The sequence below is a fragment of the Homo sapiens genome, chromosome 16 (genome assembly GCF_000001405.40).
Source record: "Homo sapiens chromosome 16, GRCh38.p14 Primary Assembly".
Lineage (NCBI taxonomy): Eukaryota > Metazoa > Chordata > Mammalia > Primates > Hominidae > Homo > Homo sapiens.
The window spans coordinates 67,074,762-67,097,312 of NC_000016.10; the positions used below are offsets into that span (position 1 = coordinate 67,074,762).

Here is a 22,551-nt window from a genome sequence, read left to right on the forward strand (position 1 = left end):
AGATGCTAAACTGTAAGTAAATGGATAAATAACGAATTATGGTAAAACCAAGAACTGTTTATCAAAAGACAGTATTAAGAGAATGTAAAGGCAACCTGAACAGTGGTGGAAAATGTTTTCTGGCAAAGGACTTACATAAAATATGTAGAGGCCAGGCGCAGTGGCTCATGCTTGTAATCCCAACACTTTGGGTGGCCAAGGTGGGCAGATCACTTGAGGCCAGGAGTTGGAGACCAGCCTGGTATGGCAAAACCCCATCTCTACTAAAAAATACAAAAATTAGCCAGGTATGGTGGCACACACCTATAATCCCAGCTACTCAGGAGGCTGAGGCAGGAGAAGCCCATGAACCTGGGAGGCAGAGGTTTCAGTGAGCCGAGATCACGTCACTGCACTCCAGCCTGGGCAACAGAGCGAGATTCTATCTCAAAAAAAATGTGTGTGTGTGTGTGTGTGTGTGTGTGTGTGTGTGTAAAGAACTCTTACATTTCAGTGAGAAAATATTTTCATTGAAAGGAAACACAGACAACCTAAAAGAAATTGGCGAAAGACATTTAACAGGCAGTTCACAAACAGGCTATGCAAATGAAAAGGATTCAGCTTTCTTGGATCATCAGAAAAATAATTATTAAAACCACAGTACTACCACACAGTCATCAGAATGGTTCAAATGAAGAAGACAGTACCAAACATTGACAAGAATGTAGAGCAGCAGTTGGTGTGTTGGTTATGTAAGATTGGCACAACATTTGGAAAACTGGCTGTAAATATGCAAGCTGCGCATGCATATATGTGTGTGTGTGTGTATATATATATACACACACTATGATCTAGCAGTTCTACTCCAAGGCATGATGGCAACAGGAGTGAATATGCATATTCATCACAAAATATGTGCTAGGACATTTATAACTATTATTAGTAATAGCTAGAAATTGTAAACTGCGCAAATGGCCATTAACAGTGAAATTTATAAAGTGCGTGGTCACACAAATACACTGAGAATGAAAAGCTACAACTAACACCAATATGTGTGAGTTCCTCAAAAATATTGAGAGTACAGAACAGGCCAGTTATGGTGCCTCACCCTTGTAATCCCAGCGCTTTGGGAGGCCAAGGCAGGAGGGTTGTTTCAGGCCAGGAGTTGAAGAGCCTGAAATTTAAAAATTTCAAAAATTTTTAAAAATTAACTGGGTACAGTGGCTCATGCCTGTAATCCCAGCACTTTGGGAGGCCAAGGTGGGCAGATCACAAGGTCAGGAGTTCGAGACCACCTTGGCCAGTATGGTGAAACCCCGTATCAACTAAAAATACAAAAATTAGCTAGGTATGGTGGTGGGTTCCTGTAGTCCAAGCTGCTCGGGAGGCTGAGGCAGGAGAATCGCTTGGACCCGGGAGGCAGAGGTTGCAGTGAGCTGAGATCGCGCCACTGCACTCCAGCCTGGTGACAGAGCTAGACTTCATCTCAAAAAAATTTAAAAAATTAGCCAGGCATGGTGGCATGCACTTGTAGTCCTAGTTACTTGGGAGGTTGAGGTAGGTCGATCACTTGAGCCCAGGTGGTCAAGGCTGCAGTGAGCCATGATTGCTCTATTGCACTTCAGCCTGGGCAACAGACTGCCTCAAAAAAATAAATAATTTAAAAAACATCACATGTTATATGAATCGATTTATGTAAAAGTACAAAATCAGGTAAAACCAATACATGTTTTTCCCCCCATTTATTTCTTTTTATAGAAAGTAAAAAAGAGGCAAAATTAAGCAAAATGCCTCTTGGTAATAAATAATAGGAAAGCCATAAGTAGTATTCACAAAATTATGGATAGTGGTCACCTCTAGGAACAGGAGGGAAACAGGGTAGAGCAGCACAGAAACTGAAATGCCCAAAGTCTCAAACTCCTGACCTCAGGTGATCTGCCACACTTGGTTTTTTAATATAATTGTCTAAAAGCTTGAAAAATATGAAGATTTTGGCACTTTACCATTGAATAATCAGAGATTTCCAACTAATTTTAAACAAAACTTTACTACAAAGACTCATTTACCAAAAGAAGGTCATTGTTATTGTAGGAACTAGGTTGGTTTTAGCATAGTTCTTGAGACTCAAGTTTTCTAAAAATCCAGTGTGTACTGTCATGAGATTAGTTTTTTTTTTTCATTGTCAGCTTTGTCAAAATTCTGCAGTTCAGTTACTTTAACTATGGATATATAAAGATATTTGTAAGTTATATAAACTATAACTTCTAAAGGATAGAATGTTTCATTTCTTTGGATGCAGTTATAAATTATATGTGTACCACTACTAGTTCCTAGTAGATTTCTAATTCAATGAGAATGTTATTTTCTTATACAATATGTGTTCCACCAACATTTGTATTACCAACATAAGCCAATAATTTTATCTTCATTGTTGTACTTTTTAAATGACTTTGTTTTGGCAATCACAAAACAATATTTCACGTTCAGTATAATGACCTTGCAAAGTTTTATTTGATTCCATGATTGGATTAGAAAAATTGAACCATTATTGGAATTGATGCATTTTCTGTTTGAAGTACTTGATGACACTGCTGTAAAATTAGTGTCTTTTTGTTTGCAAGGTTTTTCTGTTCATGAAGCAACGTATAAACAGCTTTACTTTTTACATATGCACAAAAACGTGGGTGAAATTAATTTGGAAGAGTCATTTAAGTGAAAAGTTACGTGCTACAGATTGATGTGTTAAATGTACCATTTGCAGCTGCACATACTGATTGTCTTTTATGTAAATACTGATGCTTCTTCAGCAGATTTATTTATTTTGGTTTTCATGTGATCAGTGATACCATTCTGGTCCCCACAGAGAATAGTAAATGTCGATATTTTGTGCAAATTAGATGTTCATCATCAACTGTCTTGGAAAAAAATTGATTCTTAATTTTTTAATTAAGCATGAACTTCCAGTTTTTAAACTCTGATGCAGAAAGGTAAGTGTTACCGAACTGTTAAATATATATAGTTGTAGATTTAGACAATAAATAAAGACACAATTTAAATACAGTGAAGAGAGAATTACTACAACAAGAGTGGTCGAATATTCTGTGTATGCTCTATGACAGAACTGCTAAGCCTTTATTTTCCACATGGATTTAATTTACACCCAGCCATGTTTTATGATGACCCCACCTGGCTACGTTGTGCAGGTTGTGGTATAGACTTTGGAGTAACAGACTAGTAGTATAACAAGTGGCTGGTGGGGACGGGAGAATTGAAAACCTTATCCTACCCGAACCTGAATGGAGTTGGTTGTTCCTAGCCATTTGAGCCTACTTTGTGGGTAAGCACGTGGTTTTTATTAGCAGGTGCCCTTTATGCTGTCCTTGAAAGGGAGGTGTTAGATTGCAGCAGGAAAGGATCAGGATAATACTGGTAATTGCTGATTGTCTTTCCATTTTACCATTTGTTAAAGTGTGAACTCTGTTCACTGCACATATGTCTCACATGTCATTAGAAAATACCAAGACAAGCTGGGCACGGTGGCTCATGCCTGTGATCCCAGCACTTTGGGAGGTTGAGGCAGGAGGATCACTTGATATTGGGAGTTCAAGACCAGTCTGGGCAACACAGCGAGACCTCATCTCTCTATAAAAAATTTAAAAATTAGCTCTGGTGGCACACACCTGTAGTCCCTGCTACTTGGGAGCCTGAAGCAGGAGGATCATTTGAGCTTGGGAGGTTGAGGCTGCAGTGAGCTATAATCACACCACTGCACTCCAGCCTGGGCTTGAGAGCGAGACCCCTTCTCTAAAAAAGAGAGTAAAGAAAAGATCAAAACAGAAGATGGAACAAGAAAGTGAAGGCTACCAAATATCTCCTGGCTTATTTTGCTGCAAATATTAATAATGATACTTTTTATTCTTGTTTTGAAATGGAGTTTCGCTCTTGTTGCCCAGGCTGGAGTGCAATGGTGTGATCTTGGCTCACCGCAACCTCTGCCTTCAGGGGTTCAAGTGATTCTTCTGCCTCAGCCTCCCGAGTAGCTGGGATTACAGGGGCCTGCCACCATGCCTGGCTAATTTTTTGTATTTGTTTTTTAGTAGAGACGGGGTTTCACCATGTTGGCCAGGGCTGGTCTCTTCAACTCCCAAACTCAGGTGACCCACCGGCCTTGGCCTCCCAAAGTGCTTGAGCTTATAGGTGTGAGCCACCGCACCAGGCCCACAGTTTTTTCCTGTCATCGGCAGATGTGTCCCAGTTGATACCTAAGTGCATAGAAAGCCGTGGGAAATTGGGAACAGCATTCTTTTGCGGCTACCTCTGGCTTATATTATGTCCTGAGAATATAGTAGGTCCATGTTATGATGTTCAGTCAAATGTTTGAATTTTATGTATCCATAAGTGCTTGTTGAATAATAGCATTTATTGAATGCTGTCAGTATGCTTAAGCACTTTTTATGTGTTATTTAATCTTTACAACAATCTTGTTATAAAGTATTACTATGCCTTTCTTACATGTAAATTTACTGAGGCTTAGAGAAATGAAATAACATTGCCCTGGGTTATAAAGCTAGTAAGTGCATCACAAGAATGGGAATTTGATTACATCTTTCCATTCTGTTTACGTTATAGACATTGTCACTGAAAATTTTGAGTATTAGAAAACCCCACTGACAGTGACAAATAAAGGATTTATCACACAGAACAAGATATCCAGCAGTACACAGTCCAGGCCTGGTATAGCAAGCACTTAATTATGTTATCAGAGGCCCTGGGTCTTTTTTTTTTTTTTTTTTTTTTTGACCCCAACGTGATATGAGGTCTTTTAATCTTGCTGCTGTACCATGCTCATTGTGTGACTGTGTCCTCATTATTATGTTTGCAAGATGGCTGCTGCATCTCTGAGCACTGCATCAGTTCCTAAGAAGGTGGAATGGTGAAATGTCTCAAACTTTCTTGGAAGCCCCATTAGGTGACTTGTGTTTCTGTCTCATTGGCTACAACTGAGTTACGTGGCCACCCCTTGCTGCAGTGAATCTAGGAAAGTGAGTAGTATTGATGACTTTTCTGGTATTGTTTTGGATCTTTTCGTTTCTTCAAGTGTACCATCAAAAATCCTGGTATTCTGGCCAGACACAGTGGCTTACGCCTATAAGCCCAGGATTTTGGGAGGCCAAGTCAGGCAAATCACTTGAGGTCAGGAGTTCGAGACCAGCCGGGCATGATGATGCTCACCTGTAGTCCCAGCTACTCGGGAGGCTGAAGCAAGATAATTGCTTGAACCTGGGAGGTTGCAGTGAGCAGAGATCACACTGCTGTACTCCAGCCTGGGCAACAGAGTGAGACTCTGTCTCAAAAATAATAATAATAATAAATTCTAGTATTCAGAAGTGTGTGACGGCAAAGGCCAAGCATCCTGGGCTGTACACAGTGAGGGAGCTTTTTTAAGTTGGGGGCATTGTAGTCAGATTGTGCTTTAAAGGCATACTCCGATGGCTGTGTGGTAGATTGGGTTGAGGAGTGACCAAATGGAAGCAAGGAGAGACTGTTGAGGAGACTTTTGCAATGGTCTAAGTGAGATTTTAGGGGTCTGAACTAGGAGGAAACTTTTTATAGGAATGAAGAGGAGACTGAAGATTCCAAAAATATATAGGACATCAAGTGGGTAGGACTCAGTGGTTGATTGATTGTGGAGACAATGAGAGAGTGAAGAGTCAAAGATGATGGCTCAGGTTTCTTGCAGAAAAAAAAATGGTGCCACCAACAGAGACCAAAAAAGAGTAGAGAAGAAAGTTTAAGTTGGTTACCTTTTTAGATGCAATGAGTCCTGAGGTATCTGGGTTTCCTTCAGGTGCAGATCTTTAGCCACTAACTGGGAAAAGACAGATTTGTTATATGTTAATAAATATATTTTCCTTAATAATTTCCCTTGAGATTTTATTTGCTTTTTGTTGTCCAGAAGTTTCCAACATTTGTGTAGTCAGTGCTGTTCATCTTCATTTATATTTCTGGCTTTAGTTCATAGAGCATTTCTTTTCCCCAAATGATAGAAGTATTTACCACATTTGTTAGCCTTAAATATTGTATTCATCAGGATTTTATTTTGATGAGTAGGATTAAGTAGGTAAAGAAAACGGAAGAGCATTTTCAGTTGTTAGAATATGATTAACATGACTTATGTTTCCAAGGTGTGGCATAAAATATGAAATACTGAATTTTTCTTTTAAAAGTACCTCTGACTTTTTTTTATATATATACTTTTAAGTTTTAGGGTACGTGTACACAATGTGCAGATTAGTTACATATGTATACATGTGACATGCTGGTGCGCTGCAGCCACTAACTCGTCATCTAGCATTAGGTATATCTCCCAATGCTATCCCTCCCCCCTCCCCCCACCCCACAACAGTCCCCAGAGTGTGATGTTCCCCTTCCTGTGTCCATGTGTTCTCATTGTTCAATTCCCACCTATGAGTGAGAATATGCAGTGTTTGGTTTTTTGTTCTTGGCGATAGTTTACTGAGAATGATGATTTCCAGTTTCATCCATGTCCCTACAAAGGACATGAACTCATCCTTTTTTATGGCTGCATAGTATAAATCATGCTGCTATAAAGACACATGCACACGTATGTTTATTGTGGCACTGTTCACAATAGCAAAGACTTGGAACCAACCCAGATGTCCAACAATGATAGACTGGATTAAGAAAATCTGACTTTTTTTTTAATGGTGTTGATGTTTCAGAAATACTCTGCTGTTTGTTTCTGTCGGAATAAAAAAGGCTGGACAAGGTGGCTTGCACCTGTAATCCCAGCACTTTGGGAGGCCAAGACGGGAGGATCTCTTGAGGCCAGGAGTTTGAGACCAGCCTGGTCAACATAGCAAGACCCAGTCTCTACAAAAACTAAAAAAAAAAATTAACCAGGTGCAGTGGTGCGTGCCTGTAGTCCCAGCTGCTTGGGAGGCTGAGGCAGGAGAATTGCTGTAATGGGGTTAAGCCTATGATTTTCAGGTTGTGGTGAGCTATGATTCCACCACTGCACTTGTACTCCAGCCTGAGTAACAGAGCGGGATGCTGTTTCTTTTTTTTTTTCTTTTTTTTTCTTTTCCTTTTTTTTTGAGACAGGCTGGAGTGCAATGGCGCAATCTCGGCTCACTGCAACCTTCACCTCCTGGGTTTTAAGCTATTCTGCCTCAGCCTCCCAAGTAGCTGGGATTACAAACATGCGCCACAACATCCAGCTAATTTCTGTATTTTTAGTAGAGATGCGGTTTCACCATGTTGGTCAGGCTGGTGTCGAACTCCTGACCTCAAGTGATCTGCCCGCCTCGGCCTCCCAAAGTGCTGAGATTACAGGCGTGAGCCACTGCGCCCGGCCACTGTTTCAGGAAAAAAAAAAAAAAAACAAAACCCAAATATTGTATTTTTTTTATAAATCAAAATTAAAATAGGTATTTCATGTATTCTGACAGCAGGAGGATGCATTAGCACAACAGGCCTTTGAAGAGGCTCGGAGAAGGACACGCGAATTTGAAGATAGAGACAGGTCTCATCGGGAGGAAATGGAGGTGAGAGTTTCACAGCTGCTGGCAGTAACTGGTTAGTACTTTCCCCCAAACTCTCAGGCTGTGTTTGTGATGTTTGTGCATAATGCTTTTTAATAGTTTAATTTTGTCTTTCATTTTTAAAAAGTTGTACTCTCTGGCTTTGTGTTTATTAAATGTAATTGCTATAAAGAAATTTATTTTAATTTTAAAGTTGTACATCAATTCCTCATTCATTGGTCTTCATAAAAATCATTTACTATAATAAGGTATATTTTCTCTTAATTCATTTACTCAAAATCTCACCTCTTTTTTTCTTATTTTTCAAATTATTTGTAAAAATCAGCTTATGTTAACAGATTGCATATTTTTAGAACATTATTAAAACTCGAGTAATACTACTTTCCATTTTTCTATGAATATTTGTCTTGGTTTTATAACTATAATTGTCAGTCATTTGTGTGATTTTAACTAAAGGAAAATTTAATATTCAAACTATTCAAAGAACGGAATTAAACTTTTTCTTTTAACCTTTCTATTGTAAAATACAGAAACAGAAATCAACATTAACAAATCTGTAGCTTCCTTTGCTGGTTTACTTAGGATACATTTTTTAAAATAATAATAAATAAAAAAATCTATAGCCCAATGAATTACTGTAAGGTTAACATCCTTACAACCACGGTTTGGTCAAAAAATAAAACTTTGAGCCTGAGCAACTCTGTCTCTACAAAAAGTAAGAAAATTAGCTGGGTTTGGTGGCACATGCCTGTAGCTTTAGTCACTTGGTAGGCCAAGGTAGGAGAATCACTTGAGCCCTGGAGTTTGAGGTTACAGTGAGCAGTGATTGTGCCACTGTATTCCAGCCTGGATGACAGAGTGAGATCCTGCCTTTAGGAAATAAATAAATAATACATAAATAAACCTTTGACAGCTACCCCAGCAGCCCCTTCCATATATACATCTAATCATGACTTTCTCATGATTTCTGCTCAAAAGTAATCATTATTTTGATTTTTTTTTTTTTTTGAGATGGAGTCTTGCTCTGTCGCCCAGGCTGGAGTACAGTAGCGTGATCTCGGCTCACTGCAGCCTCTGCCTCCCAGGTTCAAGTGATTCTCCTGCCTCAGCATCCTGAGTAGCTGGGATTACAGGCGCACACCACCATGGCCGGCTAATTTTTGTATTTTTAGTATAGGCAGGGTTTCACCATGTTGGTCAGGCTGGTCTCGGACTCCTGACCTCATGATCCACCCACCTCAACCTCCCAAAGTGCTTGGATTGATTACAGGCGTGAGCCACTGCGTCTGGCCCATTATTTCAGTTTTTATAGTTAATTTATGTCTTGTGTTTCTTTAGTTTTAGCACCCATTGAAGTTTAGTCTTGCCCAGTTTTAAAATTTGAGCTTTTTTCCCCCCACTTTTTTAAATCTACCATGTTGGTTTCTGAATTTTGATGTGTCTTTTAATTGACAATGGAATTTTAATTTTTTTACACAAAATTGTACTCTGCTTTAAACAGACCTCAATTATAAAAATTAATATTCAAAGTATATACAAATTGTTCAGAAATACAGATTTTCTTTAAAAATTATATTCTAGGGCCAGATGCTATGGCTCACACTTGTAATCCCAGCACTTTGGGAGGCTGAGGTGGGAGGATTGCTTGAGGCTGGGAATTTTAGACCATCTTGGGCAAAATAGCAAGCCCCCATCTCTGCAAAAAATAAAAAATTAGCCAGCATGGTGGCACATGCCTGTTGTCCTAGCTACTCAGGAGGCTGAAGCAGGGGGATAGCTTGAGCCTAGGCGCTTAAGGCTGCAGGAGCTATGATCGTGCCACTGTACTCCAGCCTGGATGACAGAGCAGGACCCTACCTCAAAAAAAAAAAAAAAAAAAAAAAAGTATATTCTAGCAAAAATAATCAAGATAAGAACTAATGTGTTTGAAAAAGAGTGTTGTCAAATGTTACTGTATATCATGCTTCAAGTTTATAAACTTTGTATCAACATGAACATTTCATACAAGAAGAAATAGAAAAAGCACACATTCATCTTTGATAATCAAAACACATTAAAATATAATTATAATATATCAACTAAACAGAACCATTTCCAGGTGTTAAAAATCAGTATTAGGTACCTAAGATTGTTAAATTCATGTCCTATATACTTTTGGAATCTACAGACAGTAGAATAGTGGTTGCCGGGGAAATGGGGGTTAGTTATTTAAAGAGTATAGAGTTTCAGTTTTGCAAGATGAAGAGAGTTCTAGTTGGTTGCACAACAGTGTGAATGTACTTAACACTACTGAGTGTATGCTTTAAAAATGGCTAAGATGGTAAGTTTTATGATATGTGTATTTCACCACTTTTTTTAAGTTTTTAAGTCAATGTTACATAATGAAGAAAATTTGTGGTTTTTTTCCAAGCACAAAATTATATGTACACTATTGTTTAAATTAAGGTGTGTGTGCATACGTGTGTGTGTGTGTGCGTGCATGGGTGCAGACAGTGGCTAAGAGCCCAGACTCTACAGCCAGACAGAAGTCTGAATCTGGCTCTGTCATTTACTTTGTCAGCTTGGACAGCTTACTTCACTTTTCTATGACTGAGTTTCCTCATCTACAAAATAGGAGTAATAATCCTGCCTGTCTCATATGGTCATTGTGAGGATTAAATGAGTAAATACATGTGAAACCACTTTTAGCGTATGTGCCACTGACTAGGTGTCAGGTGCTATTATTATTGTTAATATTATTTAAAGTATTACATAAAATTTCTAGTTGTGTTAAAATATATTTACTTAGAATACATTTAAAAATCAAGCCTATTTGGTGGTTAGTGTATGAAATAAATTGTGTGTGTGTGTGTGTGTCTCTGTGTGTGTCTCTGTGTGTGTGTGTGATGGAGTCTCATTCTGTCGCCCAGGCTGGAGTGCAGTGGCACAATGTCGGCTCACCGCAACCTCTGCCTCCCGGGTTCAAGCGATTCTCCTGCCTCAGTCTTCTGAGTAGCTGGGATTACAGGTTCCTGCCAGCACGCCCGGCAAATTTTTGTATTTTTAGTAGACACGAGGTTTCACCATGTTGGTCAGGCTGGTCTCAAACACCTGACCTCGGGTGATCTACCTGCCTCAGCCTCCCAAAGTGCTGGGATTACAGGAGTGAGCCACCGTGCCCAGACTTGAAATAAAATTTAATATCTTTTTTTTGGGTGGGGGTGGGGGGAGATGGGGTCTCACTCTGTTGCCCAGGCAGAAGTGCAGTGGTGTGAACATGATTCACTGTAGCCTCAACCTCGTGGGCTCAAGCAGTTCTCCCTCCTTGACCTCCCAAAGTGCTGGGATTACAGATGTGAACCACTGCACCCAGCCTAAAATTTAGTATCTTTTTTTTTTTTTTTTTTTTTTGAGACGGAGTCTCGCTCTGTCGCCCAGGCTGGAGTGCAGTGGCGCATTCTCAGCTCACTGCAAGCTCCGCCTCCCTGGTTCAAGCCATTCTTCTGCCTCAGCCTCCCGAGTAGCTGGGACCACAGGCGCCCGCCACCATGCCCGGCTAATTTTTTGTATTTTTTAGTAGAGACGGGGTTTCACCGTGTTAGCCAGGATGGTCTCGATCTCCTGACCTCGTGATCTGCCCGCCTTGGCCTCCCAAAGAGCTGGGATTACAGGCTTGAGCCACTGTGCCCGGCTTAAAATTTAGTATCTTTTAGTGATTGCTAGATCTCTTTGTCAGTGAGTTAATTAATCTAATGGGCTGATAGCAGCTGAGGATGTCCCCAAGAATACTTGTTAGCTAAGAGAAGAAAATGGAGGGATATATGTGATACTTGTTTTCTTTGATGCTGTTGTAATTCTTGTGATTTTCATATATGTGAATACAAGACTTCCACACCATGCCCTTTCTTTCGGTATCTGTAAAATTTAGAAGCTTTAAAATGTATAATGTACATTTGTTACATTTCTGAACCTTTTTGCTCATGCTCTTTGTTCCCTGATGTAGAATGTTCTTTTCTGTCCGTCAAGGCCCAACCTGAATGTTGTCATTAAATGTCAGGCCTTTCCTCAGTCTTCTTAGTCATAATCATAAAGCCCTTCCATTCTGTAGCACTTTTTATTTCTACTAGTGTTCTTATTGAACAACATGTTGAAACAATTATAAACATTTGTGCCCTCCACTTTATGGCAATCCCATGAGATGGAGCCCCTGATTTTTGTGTCTTCCACATTACCTACCACAATCCTTTGTACACTGCTTAGTTGTTCATTGGATATCTTCAAAAAACAGCCCCTATCCTGCCTGTCTGAAAACTAGAATTATAGGAGAGCCTGCTATGATAGTTCATGTAGATAATACATATTAATGGTCTCTGGAAAGATTCTAAATATTTATAATGTGTTGGTTTATATTAACTAGTTAAGTAAAGTAATAAACCCCAAGTGTGTTGGTCTGTATTCTGCATTAGGGACTGAGAAATATATAGATGAAAATGCATTGTTTCTGTCTTTGATCAGCTGTCAGTCTTGTGGGAAAATGATGGATAAACAGATCATTGCAGTGTACTTTAGCAACCACCATACATAATGGAGGTTCAAAAGGGACAGCAGCAGTGTAGAGGAAGCTTAAGTCTGCCTCTGCTTGGGAAATTCACAGGGTAGTATACTTAGAGGGATTTGAAGGAAGAGTGTGTTTTGCCAGCTGTTCAAGTTGGAGAAAGCATTCTGGGCAGGACAAACAGTGTATGCAAAGGCATGGAGGAGTAAGGAGGAGTAAGAGAGCCTGCCAAGTCAAGAGAGTGTGATTGGTCAGTATTTCTGGAGCAAGCTAACATGGCTTTAAATGAATATAGGAATCATTTTCTAAAAAGTGCTCTTCAGCTACATTATATTTGGAGATTAACTATTTGACAATTAATGGAACAACTGTTGAAAGCTTTTGTATGTATTTTGCTTTACATAAAACTCTAGATTAATTGACTAAGAATTTTCTATTCTAAATTGTGGTGGCTCACACCTTTAATCTCAGCACCTTGGGAGGCTGAGGGAGGATTGCTTGAGCCCAGGAGTTCAAGACCAGCCTGGGCAACACAGCAAGACTTTGTCTCTACAAAAAATTTAAAAACTAGCTAGGCATGGTAGCATGTGCCTGTGTTCCCAGCTACTTGGGAGGCTAGGTGGGAGGATCGCTTGAGCCCAGGAGGTCAAGGCTGTAGTGAACTATGATTGTGACACTGCACTCCAGCCTGGGCAACAGAGCAAGACCCTGTCTCCCTGACCCCACAAAAAGAAATAAATACATTGTTAATTTGATTTTTCTAATTTAAAATGTTGGAAGAATATTTTGGTATGTGAGTTTATATGTATATATGAACAGAAATATAGTCTGTTGATAGAAGTGTCACATAATTTGTTGCTCAGATAGATTGTTTCTACTTGTTTTTTTGTCAGTGATTGAGAGCATGGGCTTTGTAGTCAGGCCTAGTTGAGATTCCTGCTCCGTCACTTGCCTCAAGAGCCCTAATTTTCTCACAGAATTTGAGTATTAAATGGGAAAATGCTTGTAAAGCACTTAGTATGATGCTTGGTATGTGTATGCCTACAGTAAATAATAGCTCTGAAGTACTTCTTTTTAGCACTAAAAGCTCCACCATAATGCTGGTTCCAGTTAATTGAATTATTTGGCTAACAAGAACATCCTTTTAGTTCTCTGAAGTGTATCAAGGCACTTTCCCTACATTATGACCTAGAGCATAGAGAAAAGAGTTATATTTTCATCAATGATTTAAGATCCTGTAGTCCCTTATGGCAGTAATTTAAAACATCAGTTCTTGTAGAGAACTGTCATCTGGAAAATTGGGCTGGAATCTGACTCCAGCACATGCACTGGCAATCACATAGGGGAGTTTGGGGTTTGTGTGTCTTTTGGCACTTAGCGTGTATATATTTTGCTTCTTTGTCTTTTTTTTCCATCCATAAAAAATTCCTAATGTCACCTTATTTTCTTGCAGTTTACCTTCTTTTTCCTAAAAAGAGAATATTGGAGAAAAATGTTGTTTCCCCTCTGTGATTCAGATTATCTTTAGAGATTCAAACATCATCTAATCTAACATTATTACAGTTGATAAAACTGAGAGTCTCCAAAAAATTAATTGACTTGCTCTCCCTCAAATATTTGGTTAATGGAAGAAACAGTGAGTATTTAAACCAGTTTCCTAACCAGGAGGCCTGCACAAATACAGCTTAGCGCTGGGAAATTAATTTCCACACCACCCGTAAAGATGCTTAAGCTGAAAAATAAAATCTGCCAGGAGAGATTAAGAACCGTTTTGCCTGGAATAGAAAAGGCTGAGGCAGAAAAGAAAAATAATGGTTCTAGTGGGTGGTCCTGATGCCTGACTGGAGAGGAGGGCCAGAGAACAGTGGTAACTCATGGGTGGCAGCAAGTCAGTAAACGGCCTGTGGAAGCTTGAGATCCTAGCAGCACAGAGGTTTAGGGATGTCCTCCACTGTTTGGATAACTTCTGAGGCCTCCAGCCCTGCCATGCTAAACTTGTAACAGTGGTGCTCGTGAGTATTTAATCTATGTGTAAGGTTAAGATTACTAAGGGGGGAAGCAGAACTCCAAGTGGTTGGTGGCCCAAGGGGTTTTGATTTTCAACAGTGTCTTTTAACCTGAAACTAGTTATAAAATTCCTTGAGCATTCTTCCATTTCACCATGTGTAAAATTTAGAAAGTTTTCGATCCTTCATGATAGGATTTAGTGTTTTCTTTTTCTCATTTTTCTGGAACAGCCTATTTCAGTAGTACAATATTTTCTTTACCTTTCAGAGGTAATGGCAGATTATCATTAACTTGAAATGAGAAACTATAGTGAAATGAAGAAGCATTGTTTATGTTAGTAACCTTTACCAAATACTCTTGTCATTGATATACATTAAAATGATATACATAAGGTACACAGTACTGTGTATAATATCTTACTCTCTGGGTATTTTTCCTACTCTGTGGGTAATTTTTGTTTAAATGTGCATAGTCATTCTCTAGTAGAATATCTAAGAAACTGGAACTAGAAACTATGGGGGAGAACCAGGTACCTGGGGGACAAAATAAGCAAATTATTATTTTTCACTGTGTATCTTCTGTACCTTATGAATTTTGTATCATTAATTATTTAGAAAAAAATAAAATTTGCTTTCAGTATTACACAGAATAATGAAAACAGAAGATTCTAGACCTTGCTATCTCTATTCTCTGGCATATAGGCTGTTTTTTATGTGAAACCCTTCCTCCATTTGAAATTGTATACAGAGCCCCACTGTATAAAACAGTTTTTTTAAAAGGCACTGCTCTGGGCAAAGCCAGGGTAGGGATTGTTCTGGTCTCCCTCTGGTGTCCCTGGGGGTGTTTTTACGGAACCCAGTGGGTGGCAGAACATAATGAGGACTCTGGATGTAGTGGAATGAGCACAAGGTTTTGCATCCCGGCTCCACTACTTGTTGCCATATAGCATTGAGAAAGTTGCTTATTCTCATTGAGCCTCATCAGTAAAAACTCCCTCCCAGGTTGTTGCAGAGCTCAGTATCTGAGGCTTAGAATGGGGACTCAGTGGAAGCCAGTTTCTTTACCCCTTCTTTCTGTGTACTTGGCTCACAATATATCTGGAGTGGCAGGAAAACAGTAAAAGTAGTCATATCCTAACTTTAGACTATGAAAGTCGAAGATACTATTTTGCCAAGCCATTTTAGATTCTGGTGTTTTTTGTTTGGTTGGTTGGTTTGGTTTTTTAAAACAACCAGTAAAGGATTTTGGACTTTTCTTGGCTCTGTTGGAGGCTACCAGTTACTGTGGGGATTGAGTAGTGACTAGAAGTGGGTATGAAGAGAACTTCCCATGTTCTGGTAATGTTAGTTCTTGACCTGGGTGCTAGTTAGGTGGGTGTGTTCGCTTTGTGAAAATTCTTCATTACATACTTAACAATTTGGGCACTATTCTGTACTTGTATAAAAAGAAGGCTTTTAAAAATAAAAAATAATCACAGACGTTACTTTTGTGAAATGCTCTCCATTGGCATCTGTTGCTATATAGAAGCATCCTAGCACCTTTTCTGTCTGAGAATCCTTCCTTGATCTGAAAATGTTGACATGTTTCCCATGACCTTTCTTTTTGGGGTATATATGTCTATAACTAATTCAAATGTCTTTTGTGAAGGAAGATGGAGGTTAATAAAGGACAGATTTCATGCTCTGATCATAGTTGAGTTAGAAAGATAGCAACTTGTACACTAGTCTCTGTTTCCAGAGACTGCCTTCAACTTGATTGGCCTTTTGACCTAAAACTGTAATATAGCACTCTTGGCTTTTAACTCAGCTCCAAGGTGACAGGGTGCTTAAAGATATTTTCTCTATTATCTTAAAAATGCCTACATTTGGTTAGATTATAAAGTGGCAGCAAATAAATGGTTGTCTTTAATGTCAGAGAATGGGTAAATTATTGTTTATCCTACTATGAGCAATTTTAATACAATTCAAATCATAGAATTTTATGTGGAAACTATTTGGAAATAAAAACAGGCAAAAAGTTTTATGTGGTTTTTGTATTTGTATTTTGCATAGTTTTGGGGCCTTCAATTCTGTGTGGTCCAAGAAAAAAATCTCAGCCTCTATTTATTTTAAATTTCCGAAGACTTCAGTTTTCAAATTATTTAACTCTACCAATATTCTTTCTTGTGTATGGATAAATCAGCATGAGAATATGTCTGTGCTAGGCCTTCCTGGGTTGTGTTTTGGGTAATGGCAGTAGATGAGAATGAACTGGGAGTATGAACTCAGACTGAGAATGAGAATCGGAAGAAGATTAATGAAGGAGGAAAAGGATACGAAATCTGACTTCCCCCACTACCAGAGGAAGAGAGTCTTGGTTCTCTATCAGAGGAGCAATAGACTTTATTAAGATTTATTTTTGTTTTAGCCTTGTTTTAGTTTCTAAAAATTATTCTATCTGCAGGATATGGATTTTTCAACATTTGAATAGTTATTTGAAAAGTTCATAAATGGAAATGGGAAGTGATGAACAGCTTTGTTATAATAACAGCATCATGAGTGCATCCTATGTGCCAGGCAGTGTACATTATAATTTTGGCTTTATATTTGATCTTTAAATGCTCTTGTAAGTTACCTCTTCATTTTGAGGAACCGAGGCTAAGAGAGGATAAGAAACTTGCCTAAGGTGACATAGCTGAAGTGGTAGGGCCATCATGGTCCAAGCCCAGAAATGCAGATTATTCCCACTATTTCATTTTAAAATGTTACTTTATATTTGAAGTTTTCCTTAGGTTGCATACTTTGTAAGAACTATATTTTTTGACATGCCTGTTGGAACAGCTCTCGCAGTCTGCTTATCTGACAGATGTTTATAATTGTCTGCTGACTTTTTTTTACCCTTTTTAAAATTTTTTTTTAATTTTACTTTAAGTTCTGTGATACATGCGCAGAATGTGCAGGTTTGTTACATAGGTATACCTGTGCCATGGTGGTTTGCTGCATCTATCAACCCATCATCTAGGTTTTGTTGTTGTTGTTGTTTGTTTGTTTGTTTGTTTGTTTTTTGAGGCAGAGTTTCGCCTTTGTTGCCCAGGCTGGAGTGCAATTGCACGATCTCGGCTCACCACAACCTCCACCTCCCGGGTTCAAGCGATTCTCCTGCCTCAGCCTCCCAGTCATCTATGTTTTAAGCCCTGCATGCATTAGGTATTTTTCCTAATGCTCTCCCTCCCCTTCCCCCCTACCCCTTGACAGGCCCCTGTGTGTGACATTCCCTTCCCTGTGTGTGATGTTCCCCTCCCTGTGTCCATGTGTTCTAATTGTTCAACTCCCACTTATGAGTGTGAGCATGCAGTGTTTGGTTTTCTGTTGCTGTGTTAGTTCTCTGAGAATGATGGCTTCCAGCTTCATCCATGTCCCTGCAAAGGACATGAACTCATTCTTTTTTATGGCTGCTTTTTAACCTTTTTAATGAGTTTGGGGAAAGTGCATTCCTTTCTCTCATGTTGAGACTTAAAATTTGTGCTTTGTGTCTCCTCCAGACTTAGCAATAGGGAGAACTAGCAGTGACTAAGGAGGCTGACATTAATGCCAATTGTAAGTTAAAGGCTCATCTTTTCCATAGGTCTGATTCTGTGTTCTGACTCTGCCTCCAACTATGTTACTTGGGGGAAATTACTTAACCTTAGTCTTAGGCTGTCATCTGCACAATGAGAGTTGAATCAGATCTCTCAAGTACTTTGCCACTCTAAAATTCTATAATTCTGTATTCAGAATTTTATTTTTCTCCCTTCCTTCCCCCTGAATTTTATTTTATTTTTTTTAGAGACAGGGTGTCATTCTGTCACCCAGGCTAGGTTACAGTGGTGCAATCTTTTTTTTTTTTTTTTTTTTTTTTTTTTTTTTGAGATAAAGTTTCACTCTGCTGCCCAGGCTGGAGTGCAGTGGCCAGATCTCGGCTCACTGAAACCTCTGCCTCCTGGGTTCAGGCGATTCTCCTGCCTCAGCCTCCCGAGTAGCTGGGATTACAGGTATGCACCACCATGCCTGAGTAATTGTTATATTTTTAGTAGAGATGGGGTTTCACCGTGTTGGCCAGGCTGATCTCGAACTCCTCACCTCAGGTGATCTGCCCGCCTTGGCCTTCCAAAGTGTGGGGATTACAGGCATGAGCCAAGTGGTGCAGTCTTATAGCCCACTGCAGCCTTAATATCCTGGGCTCAAGCAGTTCTTGCCTCAGCCTTCCAAGCAGCTGGGATTCCAGCCACGTGCTACCATGCCCAACTAATTTTTAAAAATTTTTTGTAGGGGCAGGATCTCACTGTCACTCAGGCTGGTCTTGAACTTCTGGGATCAAGTAATTGTTCCACCTCAGCCTCCCGAAGTGCTGTAAACTGTAGGCGTGAGCCACCATGCCCAGCTGTTCTTTTAGCCAAGTATCAAACAAAAAGTGAATACTACAGTATCTGGACATAGTACACACTCAATAAAATATAGTTGTTTTTAATTGTTAGGGAATTTTCCCATGAAGAGTTTTCAGCAGGTTTTTTTTTTTTTTTTTTTTTTTTTTGAGCTCTCAATATTAAAAGAATGGAGATCAACCAGGAAATTTTCTTCATTCTGGATACCCCCTCCTCGTGGCTGTTTCTGCATAGCTCTGACCAGTAGGGAAAACTCAAGCTGCTGGTGTGTGTTCTTTCGTCTCATTTGGAGTCATCTCATGACTGCCTCCTAGCAACTCTATTTGCCTTGTTCCTGGGAGATGATATACTGAGAGAAAACAGGAGAGCAACTGGTAGTAAGAGGTCTGTAGCACAAGGTTGAGATTAATTCTTCATAAATACTAAGAACAGATTTGTGCTCTGAAATCAGACTCATGGATGTGTGCTTTATATTAAAACCCCAATTCTGAAATAACTGTTACTAAAAGGTTAGAATCAAGGCCCTATGGCTGAGGAGAAGGAAACTAGAAATTACAAACTTTGTGCTTTTAGGATGATGGAGTTCAGAGTTTCTTTGCCATCATGTAGTATAGTTTACCCATAGAGGAAATCCTTCAAAAACCTTCATTAGAAAACTGCCACAGTAAGAAGTCCTGCTTCTTAAAGCAGCTGCTTATTCAGCTGTTAAGTTCTACTCCTATGGAAGCTATTTTACTGAACCTAAATCTGTTTCTGTATTTGTTTCCTTCATATGACGGTCAATACATCTTCCCTTCTAGCATTAAATGTCCTCCCAGATCTCTCATTCTTCCCTCTTCTGCTCTCATTTGTACTGTTAGACTTCCTCCCTCTTTTTTTTTTTTTTTTTTTTTAAAGAGATGGGGATCTCACTATGTTGGCCGGGGTGGTCTGGAACTCCAGGGCTCAATCAGTCCTTCCACCTAAGCCTCCAAAGTGCTGGAATTACTAGTGTGAGCCACCGTGTCCGGGCCCCTCATTTTTGTTCCTACTCTTGACTCTTCATCACAGTGTCTTTCCTTACATCTTCCTCAGTGCCTTCACAATGTAAATAGAAATGAAACCCACAAATAATAGCAAGACAACTTTTCTTTACTCCTGTTCTCTGTGCTTTTATCAAAAATGTAATATTTTAAACAAATCCATGGCTATTTCTGTGCAGCTGTGACCAGTAGGGAAAACTCCAGCTGCTGATGACTGTGCTTTGTCATATATTTGGAGTAATCCCATTATTATTAAAATAATTTGAAAATTATTTTTGCCCCAAGACACAAAAGCTGAAATACTCTTTTCACAAAGTATTATTGGTAGGTTAGTAGTGATTTATAAATATATAATTAGGATTTATTTTTCTCAGTGTTTCTTCATTGCTTGGCCCCTTTCTAACCTTCATTGACTGAAAGCAGATGTTTATATCACCATCTCTGATTTTGCAGAATTGATCTGTCCTTACACTGCATTTAGCATTGATTGTGTATGGAACATAAATTGCTTTTCTGATGCATATGTATTCCATAGCTCTTTGAATTTGTGACTGTGTACTATAACCTATTTAATTGAAAAGAATGTGCTAAAATTTAGTCATTGTCCATTCTGCTAACAAAAGCAGTTAAAACATGCTAGAGAAATATATCAGAATTTTAAGAAAGAGGCCGGATTTGGTGGCTCATGCCTGTAATCCCAGTGCTTTTGAGAGGCTGAGGCAAGAGGATCACCTGAGGTCAGGAGTTCAAGATCCGGCTGACCAACATGGTGAAACCCTGTCTCTACTAAAAGTAAAAAAAGTTAGTCGGGCATGGAAGCGCATGCCGGCTACTCAGGAGGCTGAGGCACGAGAATTGTTTGAACCTGGGAGGCTGAAGTTACAGTGAGTTGAGATCAGGCCATTGCACTCCAGCCTAGGCAACAAGAGCAAAAGTGTGTCTCAAAAAAAAAAAAAAAAAAAAAAAAAAGGCTGGGCACGGTGGCTCACGCCTGTAATCCCAACACTTTGGGAGGCTGAGGTGGGCTGATCACGAGGTCAGGAGATTGAGACCATCCTGGCTAACATGGTGAAACCCCGTCTGTACTAAAATACAAAAAATTAGCCAGGTGTGGTGCTGCGTGCCTGTAGTTCCAGCTACTTGGGAGGCTGAGGCAGGGGAATTGCTTGAACCCAGGAGGCAGAGGTTGCAGTGCACCAAGATTGCGTCACTGCGCTCCAGCCTGGCGACAGAGCAAAGCTTTTTGCTCAAACAACTGGTAAAATGGAGTTGCAGTTATCTAACATAGGAAAACTGTTGCTACTTGGGAAGGTGAGGCAGGAGGATCACTTGAGCCCAGGAGTTTGAGGCTGTAGGGTGCTATGTTTGTGCCTGTGAATAGCCACTGCACTCCAGCCTGGGCAACACAGCAAGACCTCATCTGTTTTTTTTTTTTTTTTTTGGAGACAGAGTTTCCCTCTTGTTGCCCAGGCTGGAGTGCAACAGCACAATCTCGGCTCACCACAACCTCTGCCTTTCTGGTTCACGCGATCCTCCTGCCTCAGACTCCCGAGTATCTGGGAATACAGGCGCATGCCACCACACCCAGCTAATTTTTGTATTTTAGTAGAGATGGGGTTTCGCCATGTTGGCCAGGCTGATCTCGAACTCCTGACCTCAGGTGATCCGCCCACCTTGGCCTCCCAAAGTGCTGGGATTACTGGCATTGAGCCATTGCACCCAGCCGACCTCATCTCTTTAAAACAAAATGAGTTAATTCAGCTGGGCATGGTGGCTCACGCCTGTAATCCCAGCACTTTGGGGAAGCTGAGGTGGGTGGATCACTTGAGCCCAGGAGTTCGAGACCAGCCTGGCCAACATGGCAAAACCCCATCACTACTAAAAATATTTTAAAATTAGCCAGGTGTCGTGGTGCATGCCTGTTCTCCCAGCTGCTTGGGAGGCGGGGCAGGAGAATGACTTGAACCTGGGAGGCGGAGGTTGCAGTGAGCTGAGATTGCGCTACTGTACTCCAGCCTGGAAAACAGAGCAAGACTCTGTCTCAAAAAAAAAAAATAATAATAATTAGTTAATTCATGGAAAGTACTTAGTACCACATTCTGGATACAAACAGATATTTGTGCTTGGCCAACATTTGGAGGCAGTAAAGAAAGCTTATAGAATAACCACATATTAGAACTTGTGAAGGAGAAAATATACATATATATATATGTATATATATAGTCTCTCTATTAAGTAATTTACCATAAGGGGTTTAAATAGGAATGTTGACTCCAAAGTGAATCTTGAAATCTTGGTGTTTATAATTGTCAAGCCTCTTTTTTTAAAATAGATTTGGTCAACAGGAAGTATTTTTTTCTAATTTTTATTTTATAGACCTAGTCAAGCTTCTTAATTGTTAAATATTGTTATAACAATACATCTGGGCCGGGCGCGGTGGCTCACTCCTGTAATCCCAGCACTTTGGGAGGCCAGGGCGGGTGAATCACGAGGTCAGGAGATTGAGACCATCCTGGCTAACACAAAGAAACCCCATCTCTACTAAAAATACAAAAAATTAGCTGGGTGTGGTGGTGGGCGCCTGTAGTCCCAGCTACTCGGGAGGCGGAGCTTGCGGTGAGCCAAGATCGCGCCACTGCACTCCAGCGACTCCGTCTCAAAAAAAAAAAAAAAAAATACATCTGAGTCGTACATGGTGGCTCATGCCTGTAATTCCAGCACTTTGGGAGGCCAAGACAGGCAGATGGCTTGAGCCCAGGAGTTCCAAGACCAGCCCTGGCAACATGGTGAAACCCTGTCTCTACAAAGAATACAAAAATTAGCCAGGTGTGGTGGCGTGTGCCTGTGGTCACAGCTACTCGAGGCTTAGGTGGGAGAATCGCTTGAGCCGGGGAGGCAGAGGTTGCAGTCAGCAGAGATTGTGCCACTGCACTCCAGTCTTGGTGACAGAGTGAGACCCTGTCTCAAAAAAACAACAAACAAAAAAATAGATCTGGGGCCGGGCGTGGTGGCTCACGCCTGTAATCCCAGCACTTTGGGAGGCCG

General features: G+C 40.1%; 1 protein-coding gene across 6 annotated transcripts in view; it reads left to right on the forward strand.

Annotated features, from left to right (window-relative positions):
* The window catches only part of CBFB (core-binding factor subunit beta), a 71,910-nt gene that overhangs the window by 45,613 nt on the left and 3,746 nt on the right, over positions 1–22,551 (forward strand). For 3 of the 6 annotated variants that reach the window (NM_001755.3, NM_001368710.1, NM_001368709.1), the window contains one exon: positions 7,452–7,578. In NM_001755.3, the coding sequence (NP_001746.1) occupies positions 7,452–7,578 (127 nt within the window). The remainder of the gene's footprint in view (positions 1–7,451; positions 7,579–22,551) is intronic. The other 3 variants (NM_022845.3, NM_001368708.1, NM_001368707.1) reach the window with 1 other exon arrangement.